The sequence below is a fragment of the Homo sapiens genome, chromosome 2 (assembly GCF_000001405.40).
Source record: "Homo sapiens chromosome 2, GRCh38.p14 Primary Assembly".
In the NCBI taxonomy this organism is placed as follows: domain Eukaryota; kingdom Metazoa; phylum Chordata; class Mammalia; order Primates; family Hominidae; genus Homo; species Homo sapiens.
The window spans coordinates 44,979,237-44,992,447 of record NC_000002.12 but is presented as its reverse complement, the minus strand read 5'-3'; positions in this window follow the sequence as shown (position 1 = coordinate 44,992,447).

Here is a 13,211-nt window from a genome sequence, read left to right as displayed (position 1 = left end):
GAACTAAAGGAAAGCATGAGAATGATGTATCACCAAAATAGAAAATAGCAATAAAGAAATAGAAACTATAAAAAGGAACCAAATCGAAATTCTGGAGTTGAAAAGTACAGTAACTGAAAAATTTTACTAGAGGAATACAGCAGAAGATTTTATCTGGCAGACAAAGGAATGAGCAAACTTGAAGATAGGTCAGTTGAGATTATTTAGTCTAAGCAACAGAAAGAAAAAAGAATGAAGAAAAATGAACAGAACGTATGAGATCTGTGGGACATCATCAAGCATACCAACATAAGCATAATGATAGTCCCAGAAAGAGAGAAGAGAAAGAAAGGGACAGACAGAAAAGAACATTTGATAAAATAATGAACAAAAACTTCCCAAATTTGATGAAAAGCATAAATGTACATATCCAAGAAACTCAATGAATTCCAAGCAGGAAAACCCCAAAGAGATCCATGATGATACACATTATAATCAAAGTGTTGCAAGATAAAGAGAGAATCTTGAAAACATCAACAAAGAAGCAACTCATCATGTACAAGGGACCCTCAATCAGATTAGCAGCTGATTTCTGATCAGAAACCGTGGAAGCCAAAAGACAGTAGGATGACATATTCAAAGTGCTGAAAAAAAGAAAAATAAACACTTCTCAACTGAGATTCTACATCTGACAAAACCATCCTTCAGAAATGAAGGAGAAATTAGACATTCCCAGATAAAGTGAGTTTTGTTGTCTGACAATATTCTCAAGTGCTACGAAATGAGCCTCCAGTTTACACTGAATACTATTTTACAAAACCATGACTCTCCTACCAGGATGGGAAAAGGCCATGGTCCTCAGTTTGGTCATTGTCCTGAACTGCCAATTAGCAGTCACTAATCTTCACCCCCACCATTAGAGATGCCACTTTTGCCCCCACTCACCCCAAATAAAAACAAACCCAGGGCTAGATTCAGAGGGACTGGCCCCTAGCCTCCTTTTCCAGATGTCCTAAAGGGCAGTACAAGGGCCCTGGGGAAAAAAAAACATATAATCCACCTCTCAGTTTTTCAGTTGAGAAAGCTAAGGTTCAGAGAGATGAAGTGACTTTCCTGAACCTACCCAGGTGGCTGGTTGTCCTGGCTCCACAGGCATTGTTGACTCCTCCTTCCTCCACCCTCTATAATCATTTTTTAAATCAAGCTCAAATCTATATAGAAGAGATAATTTAGTCAGACATCTGTGAAATATCAGAAGAAAGAAAAAAGGAGATGGAGAGAAGAGAACATGAAGACAGAGAAGGAAAAAGCAGAATGAAGAGAAATGAAGAGACTGGACAAAAAAAGGAAAAGAGAAAAGAAAAAGCTTACAGGAAAAAGAAGACAGAAGAGGAATCAAGAGGTATAAGGTAAGAAGGAAAGGAAGATATAGGAGGAGTCAAAGTGAGGAGTCAGGAAGCTCAGGGATACCTGGATTTATCCATAATCAACTAACAGTTTTCCTAGAATGGGAGGTGCCACATTCCCATACCTCAGAGAAGTTGCAAAGCAATGTCATCTTCTTTTGCACCATGAAATATAGAAGTCAACATGAGAGGTAGAATCTCTTGGTGGCATAGGGTCTTGGCCCACAGAACCCTGGCCACATCCCTCTATACTTTCTTTTGCTGATTAACACTACCATGGTAGCTCCAAGGGCCAGTTCAGGGCTTGACACTGGCCCAGCAATAAACGCTATCTTTGTTTTGTTTTTTTGTTTTTGTTCCTGTTTTATTGAGACAGAGTCTTGCCTGGGCTGGAGCGCAGTGGCACCAGCACAGATCACTGCAGTTTCCACCTCCAGGGCTTGAACGGTCCTGCCATCTCAGCCTTCTAAGTAGCCACGACGACACGCACACATCACCATGCCCAGCTAATTTTTTGGTATGTTTTTGTAGAGATGAAGTTTTGCCATGTTGCCCAGGCTGGTTTCAAACTCAAGGTAATCCACCTGCCTTGGCCTCCCAAAGTGCTGGGATTACAGACATTGAGTCACCATGCCCAGCCTTACCCTTGTTCTTATAACACAGCTAAAATTTTGCCAGAACTTCAAAAAGGATTTTACTAAAAATGGTTCCTTCCAATATTTCCTGCTACCTTCTTGGTTCTGTGCCCACCTGGCTTCATCCTCCAATTTAGAGCCCTACAGCTGCCTCAGGCCACTAACCTGGTTTAGTTGCTCATCTGGACTTCTTCCCTTCCCTCTTGACAGTCCTTTGATTTCGGTAGAACCCAGAAATAAGATACCCTGGTAGGGTCACTTATACCAGATACCATTCCTTGACTCCCATCTCTTCCTAACAGCCCATAGATTTTCCTTTGGCTACTCATCTCTCCCCCTTGCATAGCAGCCATGTAGGTTTGGCTCATACTGACCCCAGCCCCAGCTTCAGGGGAGGATCCTGATTGTCTTAATACCAACAATATAACTCCACCCCTCTTGCCACAGTAATTGCTTAAAAGAATGGTCATGTAACCCAGGCCTAGATCAACATGGCAGTCTGCATGCAGTCATGATTGGTTTAGATTTGTTAAATCACAGAGAAGTGCAGAACTTAAGGACCTAAGTCCATTAAAGGAAGAGAAGATTGCTTTCTCTCTCTGTTTTGACTGAGTGATATGAGGTTTGTGATCTGGAACTGCTGCAGTCATTTTGCTACCAAGAGGGAAGATAGCCTGAGGGCAAGGCCACCCACACTGAGGACGGCTGACTTTTGAGAATTCTGGAGAAAGTAAGCCAGAGCCTTGATCCAATTATACTTGAAGGTTGCCCTACCTCTAGATATTTCATTTATGTGAACCAAAAACATTTTCCCATCATTGGATATTCTGTTTCTTGGGACCAAAAGCATCTTACTGACATCACATTCCACTGGCTTCAATCCTGTCAGAAATCACAGGCCCTTATCCCATATTTCCTTTCATCAAGGAAACCCAGGCTGACCTTCTGCAGAGTGCTAGGGGTGACGCTTCAAACAAATACCAACGGCAAACAGGGAATTTTATCCTAGAACAAGATCTCTTGAATTCTTAGCTCTGATGCCTCCCAGCCAGTTTCCTAAGACTGGAATCCTCCTAGGCAATGCTTCTGCCCCCATACCCATTATTTATAAATATCCTACCCACTTCTGGAATGTGCTATAGTCAGATAACATATGATGTGTAATGAGGGCATTGCTTACCAATGAGAACTTGGAAAATCCACATGTGGGATATTTAGTTTCTCAATAATTGAGCAGGGAGAATTACTTTATCTCCAAATCAGGAAAACAGGAGATCTTTGATGAGATAGAAAAAAAGTGACAGAAGCTGGGCACGGTGGTTCACGCCTGTAATCCCAGCACTTTGGGAGGCCGAGGTGAGTAGATCACTTGAGGTCAGGAGTTTGAGCCCAGCCTAGCCAACATGGTGAAACCCCATCTGTACTAAAAATACAAAAATCAGCTTGTGTGGTGGTGGGCACCTGTAATCCCAGCTACTCGTGAGGCTGAGACAGGAGAATTGCTTGAACCCAGGAGGTGGAGGTTGCAGTGAGCCAAGATCATGCCAATGGACTCCAGCCTGGGTGACAAGAGCAAAAGTCCATTTCAAAAAAACAAAAAAGAAAAGAAAAAATAAAAAAGTGATAGAGGCTCAGTTATCATAGTGTGCTCTAAGAAGCAATCAGTATTAGCAACATAGGGGTCTGTTTTGCTGCTGTATTCTGTGAAGCTGGCCTGGGAAGGGCTATCTTCCTGCATTTTCTATGCCAGAGTGATGACTGACAGCTGGAGCTAGAGGCTAAGAGGAGGAAGAATTAAGACTTTGAGGGAAAATCAGAGTGTGAAAAGATGGGGGTGAGTGGCAATGAGGAGGGAAGAAAATAAAAGATCAGAGAGAAGAAACTTCCTGATGCTCCTCTAAGGTGAATCCAGTATAGACCCATTAGGTGACCAAAGGTGATAGGGTTTGGATCTGTGGCTCTGCCCAAATCTCATGTTGAATTGTAATCCCCAGTGTTGGAGGTGGGGTCTGGTGGGAGGTGACTGGATCATGGGGGTGGATTTCTCATGAATGCTTTAGCACCATCTCCTTGGTGGTGTTCTCATGATACTGAATGAATGAGTTCTTATGAAATCTTGTTGTTTAAAAGTGTGTAGAACCCCCACCCCTCACTCCTGATCCTGCCATGTGAGACACCTTACTCCCACTTTGCCTTCTGCCATGATTAGAAGCTTCCTGGGGCCTCTTCAGAAGTGGAAGCCACTATACTTCCTGTGCAGCCTGCAGAACCGTGAGCCAATGAAACCTCTTGTCTCTATACATTACCCAGTCTCAGGTATTTCCTTATAGCACTGCAAAAATGGATTAATACACAAGGAGGTCCCCCCTTGTGTATTAAAATAAAATAAGCAATAATTTTCATATTTCTTAGTACTTTGTGTATGTGCTTGATAGGCTATTAGTATAATTTTCTTTCTGGCAATGATCTGCACCTTCCTACTTCATGCACTGCTATTAGTCTCCTTTATTTAGTCTCCACTTCTTTCCTGATAATAAAACTTGCAATTTGTAGCTGGGTACATGGTGCTCAAAATAAAACTACATTGTCCAGCCTCCCTTGCAGCTAGATGTACTATGTAACTAAGTTTCAGCTAATAAATATAATTGGAAGTGTTGTATGCAAATTTCTAGAAGTGTTCTTCAAGGAAGAAGATTCCTTTCTTCTCCATTCCTCCTTCCTGATGACAGGAATACGGATATGATGACTGGAGCTTGCACAGCCACCTTGGACCAAGAGGCAGTATGCTAAAGTTGGTGGAGCAGCCAGACAGGAGCCTGAAACTTACATGATTTTGAGTAGCTATCTAGCCCTAGACTTCTGACTCCAGACTTCATTTAAGTAAAAGAGAGATAAACTCTGATCTTATTTTAGTTATCAATTTCTTGGGTTTTCTGGCACATGTGCTTGCATCTAATTCTAACTTCAAAACTACCTTTCCATATTCAAAAAGCATAATCTTTCTCCTGGAACCCTACAGTCCTTTTATTTCTGTAATTTGCATTCATTCTCTTAATATTTCCTTGGGGTATAGTATTAAGTCTGACCATTCTTACTTCAAAAACGGACAGAAAAATTATATGACTCAGTTGAAAGTACAGCCTAAGGCAATGAATGGGCTTAGCCAAGAAGGTGCAGCGCCTCATTTCCCATTGCATGCTGTTCCCACCAGAGGGTATTATGGACAGGTAAGTTGCAATACAGCTAGGCACTGGATGCAGGAAGTGTTCAGCCACATAGATCCCTAGATGAATTTGTGTGGACTCAGGCGACTTCCAGAGATGTTCTCACTTTTAGTTCAGATTTTTATCAGGCTGCCTCTCTCAGGAAAAGCCCAGAAGTAGAAGAGGTCTGTTTAAAACCCACAGCTGTTTTTTTTTTTCATAGCTAAGGAGGAGATAAGCTATTGAAAAACAGAGAGAGTTTAATTTTTCCACTTTCCAGCCTATTGAATCAGTACCAGAAATATTTTTACCTAATTTTTATGAATAATCTGGAAGAATATGATAAAATCTCCAGATTTTCAGAAGACACTATGCTTTTGAGGGAGTGAAGGACCAAGAGGATGTGAACAAATTCAGGAAGATCTCATGAAGGCTCCTGAGAAAAAGACCAGTAAACTGAGGTAAGTGATGGCCAGACTGGAGATGGATAATAACCCACCTAAATGTGTGAGTTGGGAGCTGAAGGTGAAGGCACACAGATTATTCTTAGCTACTCTCCAAAGACATTAACTAATGAACTGGTGTAGTCAAGAAGTCCAATGCAATTCAATTGCACAATATTAATCAAGAGTCTATGATGTGCCAGGCATCATACCCAGTGCCAGTTTGCAATTATGTGCATAACGTGGACCCTGACATCATGGAGTACATAGCCTATTTCCAAATGTCAACCGGAAGAGGTTTGGAAATACTCTTCTTCCCTGTTCTTTGGAATACTGTGTGCAAAATGGATCACTATGCTCAAAGGAAGCCATAACAGAGCTGGAGAAGGTCCAAAGAAGAGAAAGAACAAGAAGGCAAGTGTCTGCCACCATGCACTTGTTACGTATGTCACCTCCTCTGTGAAGTCCTCCATGGTTGATTCCCCTAGGTAGAATTGACTTACTTTTTTTTTTTTTTTTGAGATGGAGTCTTGCTCTGTTGCCCAGGCTGGAGTGCAGTGGTGTGGTCTCGGCTCATTGCAAGCTCCACCTCCCGGGTTCATGCCATTCTCCTGCCTCAGCCTCTTGAGTAGTTGGGACTACAGGCGCCCGCCACCGTGCCTGGCTAATTTTTTGTATTGTTAGTAGAGACGGGGTTTAATCGTGTTAGCCAGGATGGTCTCAATCTCCTGACCTTGTGATCCACCCGCCTCAGCCTCCCAAAGTGCTGGGATTACAGGCATGAGCCACCGCGCACATCCTGAATTGACGTACTTTTACTTGAGTGTTTCACAGTACTTTGTGAACAATTCTATCATGACACTTTATTTCAAATAATTTTATTATTTTATTTTATTATTTTTGAGACAGTGTCTCACTCTATTGCCCAAGCTGGAGTGCAGTGGCACAGTCTCAGCTCACTGAAGCCTCTGCCTCCTGGGTTCCAGCGATTCTCCTGCCTCAGTCTCCAGGGTAGCTGGGATTACAGGTGCGTGCCACCATGTCCGGCTAATTTTTGTATTTTTAGTAGAAACGGGGTTTCACCATGTTGGCCAGGCTGGTCTCGAGCTCCTGACCTCAGGTGATCCACCCGCCTTGGCCTCCCAAAGTGCTGGGATTACAGGTGTGAACCACCACGTCCAGCTGTAATTTTGAAAAAAACATATCTTCCAAAATACCTGAAGGCAAAGACCTTACTTATTTTTGTATATTTAATATTTAGTATATTATGTACATTTGTATAGTACATGCTTAATAAATATCTGCTAAATTAATGGAAAGATGGAAATAGATTCCATTGGTCTCCAAAGTTTTTGTTCATATGCTGAATCAGAAAAAAATATTTGAGCATGACCCATATATGTATTTTAAATATATAGTATACGATATTATGTACATTATAAACCACATAAAAATTATTAAAATTGAATAAGGTATAAAATTAGCTCTAACATTTTAATATCTTATTTTTAACAGCAATACCAATAGTAGATGCAAATTTAACAGCAATACCAATAGTAGATGCAAATTCATATTTCAAATAACCTCCATAATTTTTATTTTTTTTTGGTCTGGCCTTGTCTGATCTGACCAGGGTATTATTGTTTTCACCTCATAACATGACAGATGAAGTGTCCAAGCCAGGAGCTGAAATGCCTACTCTGTCATTTTTTTTCCCATTGTTTGATTGTATTAATTGTCTAGTTTTTCAATCTAAAGATTGTTTACAAAAATCTTTGAAAGTTTCTTAACCATTTGGGGATGGGTAATTTTACTGAAGCTAGATCCCATTGTCTTGGCACCCATAAACTCAAGCATTTCTGTAACACAAGGCACACAAATGGCTCAAGTCCCCACTTGCAATCCTGTTGGGGAACACCCCCTCTTCCCTTGGCATAGCTTGTGTATAGCAGGTAACAAATACCCACCTGAAACACAGCCTGAAGGTGGGTGTCAGTGTCAAATCTTATATAAAACATTAGTAAAGGCTCACTTTACATTCTTTAGGTAAAATTAAAATACGAATGAGAGTTCTGTTATTTTGGTGTCTCACCCCAAGGCATCATTTTGTGGACTGAGTCATCGACCTTAGGTATCTAGAGAGGCTGCCTTGAACCTTGACAAAAAGGTTTTAAATAGAGAATAAAGACTAGATTTAGAAAGTGTACAGCTAGAGGCAGATACAGAAAAGCTAACTTCAATTAAATAACGTGGTTTCAAAGCATGGTGGCAAAAGTTTTTATACTTGTCCTATCAAGAGGCAGAATTTATCTCCCTTCTCTTCCAACCTGGGCAGGCCTCTGACAATGAGGATGTGGTGGAAGTGGTGTTACGTAACTTCCAAGTCTAGGTCATAAAAGGGTATGCAGGTTCCACCTCATTTACTGGAACTCTCCCTCGCTCACTTGGGGAGCTCTGAGCCTCCCTGAGAGAAGCCCAACTGCCCTGAGGCCCATGATGTGCTCTAGTTGATAGGTCCAGACCAGCCCAGCCTTCCAGCCCTCCCTGCCAAGGCACCAGATGTGCAAGAGAAGCTGTCTTGGACCCTCCAGACCAGCTCACTGGCCAACTAAATGCCCCACGGAACAGAAGAATCATCCAAGCGAGTGCTCTCTGAATTCCTCGTGCACAAAATCATGAGATAGAAGAACACGGTTGTTGTTTTGGTTTGGTTTTGGTTTTTTGGGGTTTTTTGTTGTGGTTGGTTTTGTTTTGAGACAGGGTCTCACTCTGTTGCCCAAGCTGGAGTGCAGTGGCACAAACACAGCTCACCGAACCTTCAACCTCCTGGACTCAAGCCATTCTCCTACCTTGGCTTTCCAAGTAACTACAGGTGTGTGCCACCACACCTGGCTATTTTTTTTACTTTTTGTGGAGATAGAGTCTCGCCATGTTGGCCAGGCTGGTCTCAAATTCCTAGACTCAAGCGATCCTCCCACATCACCCTTCCAAAGAGCTGGGATTACAGGTGTAAGACACTATACCCAGCCTGTTGTTTTAAATCACTAAGTTTTGGGGTAAAGTGGTTATGCAGCAGAGGATTACCAGACAATAAGGAAAGTGTTTTTCAAAACCCGAGGTCTCAAACAGTGGGACTCACCACCTTAGGAGGGAGTAATTGTGGCCATTGTATCAGTATTCACTAAGAATTGGATGGGCCGGGTGCATTGGCTCATGCCTGTAATCCCAGCACTTTGGGAGGCTGAGGCAGGCAGATCACCTGAGGTCAGGAGTTCGTGATCAGCCTGGCCAACATGGTGAAACTTCATCTCTACTAAAAATACAAAAATTAGCCAGGGGTGATGGCGCATGCCTGTAATCCCAGCTACTCAAGAGGCTGAGGCAGGAAAATCGCTTGAACCCAGGAGGTGGAGGTTGCAGTGAGCTGAGATGGCACCACTGCACTCCAGCCTGGGCGACAGAGTGAGACTCTGTCTCAAGAAAAAAAAAGAAAAGAAAAGAAAAGAAGTGGAGAAACATTTACCAAGCATGATGGGGAGGTAGCTGTGTTGCACAGAGTGCTGACCTTGAAGTCAGATGACACTAATAAATCCTGCCACTTAGTAGCTAGGAGTCCTTGGGTGAGTCACTTCACCAGTGTTCCTCACAGGGTTGCAGTGAGCATTAAAGAGCTATGAACATCATCTGCAAACTGGAAGGGACCCTGCTGCTATCAAGTTGTCAAATTGCAGGAAGGATGCCTGCATTGGGTAAGCAATTGAATTAGGTAAGTGAACTCTGAGATTCTGTAAAACCAGGATCAGTCCTAACTCATGTAGTAAGGTGTAAACATGTGTAAAAATATATGCTCTTGGTCCGGCGCAGTGGCCCATGCCTGTAATCCTGGCACTTCGGGAGGCCGAGGCAGGCAGATCACTTGAGGTCAGGAGTTCGAGACCAGCCTGGCCAACATGGTCAAACCCCATCTCTACTAAAAATACAAAAATCAGGCAGTTATGGTGGCCTGTACCTGTAATCCCAGGTACTCGGGAGGCTGAGGCAGGAGAATTGCTTGAACCTGGGAGGTGGAGGTTGCAGTGAGCTCAGATGGTACCACTGCACTCCAGCCTGGGTGACTGAGACTCTTTCTCAAAAAAAAAAAAAAAAAAAAAAAAATATATATATATATATACACACACACACACACACACACACACACACACATATGTATGTATGCTCCAACCTTATCGGTCCAGAGTCCATCTTTCCAAACACTGTTCAGAGTGAAATCCAGATGATCATCTGCCTTGTGGCTTTACCTAACCCCTGAGAGATGTTTAAAAACCCTATTAATCTCTTGGTGAAGGGAAGGGGGTGTCTGTGGACTCCAAGTTAAAAGGATTTGTTTTAGAACAGTATTTCTCGCAGTGTGGTTCCAGCACCAGCAATATTAGCATTATCTGAGAAACTATCAGAAATGTAAATTCTTGCCCCCCATCCCAGCAGATTTACTGAATCAGAAACTCTGGGGTGGGGCCCAGCAATCTGTGCTTGAATAAGCCTCCAGGTGAGTCTGCTATGAGCTCAAGTTACCTTATGATTAGGCTGACAAAGTAAGCAAATCATACACGCTGAAGATCCTGATGGCAGACCTCTGAGAAGAGGCGGAGGGTCTGGGGACAGTCGCAGAATGTGGGAGTGATCGAGAGCATCATTTATGACTTGCCCAAACTCTTCCACAGTGTTCCAGGTCTGGAAGGACCGTCAGTATTTCTGACATGTTTATGAAGGGTTGTTCACGATTCTCAGATAAAGAATCAGAAATATCGAGGGTTTGGGGATGAGAGTGGCTTGGAGAAGGTCAGTTGGAGAGAAGATGATGTGGGTTTCTATGAGATATTAAAGCCCTAAATACAGAGGAGAGGATTCCCAGACAGCTGCCTCACATCACTGCCTGCAAATTCGGCTTCCATCGCAGGCGACGGAGACGCGGAAGGTAAAGTTATGGCGCCACCTGCTGGAGAAACGTAGGCTCGGATTCCCTCCACTTGGAGATTCCGTTCCTCCCTAACACTCAGCCCTAAAGCTCAATCCTCCAGAGACCCCAAACCTGCAAGGGTGCCATGTACCAACCAGGTGGAAAACCACTGTCCTGCTTACCAATACGACTTCAGTTTTTCAAAGCTTGTGCTTTGGGGTCTGAGAATTGCAATGTTACAAGCCTAGCAATCTTTCCCAAAGGAGACTGGTATAGAATAAACATGCTCCAAGTTCCTTAAAAAGATAGGACCAGAGGAGGTTCACCTATCCATAAATAATCAGCCCCCCTTGTCAGTCCACCATAGTGAGGGTCCTCTTCCCAGACCAGGGACAGATGCTGCCAAGGCTCCGGAAAGAGTCATGGGCCCATGAGAGATACGCCTTTCCTGGCACGTGAGCCATCAGAGATCCAAAGCCAGTACCGGGCACTGATGAATGTGCAAGCACTCCACTCTGTGTAGACCAGGTCTGAAGGGCTCCATAATGACCCAATCATGGCAGCAGATGCCCTAAAAATGGCTCCCTCCTCTAGGGATCATTAGAAAGCTATTAAGGATGTCTAATTATTTCCTAGTGCTAATAAAGATGCCAATAAGCCAGGCAAGTTTTCTCACTTTTATGGAGATAATTAGAAGGCCAATTATTTTTTATGTCCATAAAAGAGTGAAACTTTAACCGCTGTCCCTGCAGCTGTATTTTATACCACCCTTGTGACAGAAGCTGCTTTGTAGCACTTCATTACGCATTAACAAGGATCTCGGGTTTTTAAACTCCAAACCACAGTCTACCCCAGATTCAGAGTTAGTCTGAAGGAAGTGGAGCAGGAAAATAGGCAATAGATCATTCTCTAAGACTTTGAGGGGAAGGAGTCATCTTGGCCATGCATTCTGCTTCGGAGATTGTATCCTACCCAACTCTAAGGCAGTGGTTCTCAAACTTGAGCTCATAGCAGACTCACCTGGAGGCTTATTCAAGCACAGATTGCTGGGCCCCACCCCAGAGTTTCTGATTCAGTAAATCTGCTGGGGTGGGGACAAGAATTTACATTTCTGATAGTTTCCCAGATAATGCTAATATCGCTGGTGCTGGAACCACACTGCGAGAAACACTGTTCTAAAACAAATCCTTTTAACTTGGAGTCCACAGACACCCCCTTCCCTTCACCAAGAGATTAATAGGTAGAATTCAAAGGGGTCCATGACTTTGGTTGGGAAAAGGCTTACGTCTTTATCTTCACTAACTTCCAACTGAAATTTAGCTTTTTAAAAAATGATGAATGTAGGTAACAGACCACAGTAGTGATAACAGCAGTGATAACAGATATTTTCCAATCCCATTACAGTAGTGGCAGGTTTCTGCAAATATCATCTATGCTTATCCGTGTTTTAAAACTCCAGTGGTTACTAGTCCTGCCAGTAGATTTTATTCTTTAATCCATTAATGGAGAAGCACATATTACTATATCACTGCTTTAAAAATATTGTGATAACTGTATTTCAAAATGATTGGTTTCCTTTGATGTCCTATGTATTATCTTTTGTGCGTTTGAAAGTGTTATTCAGACTGCCCGGGGAGGAGGGGGGAAGGGAGGAGGGGGGAAGGGAGGAGGGGGGAAGGGAGGAGGGGGGAAGGGAGGAGGGGGGAAGGGAGGAGGGGGGAAGGGAGGAGGGGCTATGGCACACAAAAAAGTGTAAGAATCTTGCTCTAAAGGTATGAAATTAATCCTCAAGAATAACTCAGAACTTCCTTCAAGGAAAAGTTTAAAAGAAGTGATAATGCTTGGATAAATGAGGAGAGGAGCGACAGGGAGGTAGCTGAGAGGCAGGGGGATGGATGAGATGGCCAGGTTGTTTTACCTCAGTGATGAATGGAGACCAAGAAAAGTCCACTTGGTCTTCCCTGTGCTCTTCACAAGAGGTTAGGTCAGGCCTCTTAAAACACTATCCCTCGGCCAGGCGCGGCGGCTCATGCCTGTAATCCCAGCACTTTGAGAGGCTGAGCGGGGTGGATCACCTGAGGTCAAGAGTTCGAGACCAGTCTGACTGACATGGTGAAGCCCGTCTCTACTAAAAATACAAAAATTAGGGCAGGGCATGGTGGCTCACGACTATAAACCCAGCACTTTGGGAGGCTGAGGCGAGTGCATCACCTGAGGTCAGGAGTTCGAGATCAGCCTGGCCAACACAGTGAAACCCCATCTCTACTAAAAATACAAAAAATTAGCTGGGTGTGGTGGTGAGCACCTGTAATCCCAGCTACTCCGGAGGGAGGCTGAGGCAGGAGAAACACTTGAACCCAGGAGGCAGAGGTTGCAGTGAGCCAAGATCACACCATTGCACTCCAGCCTGGGCAACGAGAACAAAACTCCGTCTAAAAAAAAAAAAAAAAAGCCGGGTGTGGTGGCAGGTGCCTGTAATCCCAGCTACTCAGGAGGCTGAGGCAGGAGAATTGCTTGAACCCAGGAGGCAGAGGTTGCCGTGAGCTAAGATCGCACCATTGCGCTCCAGCCTGGGCCAGAGTGAGACT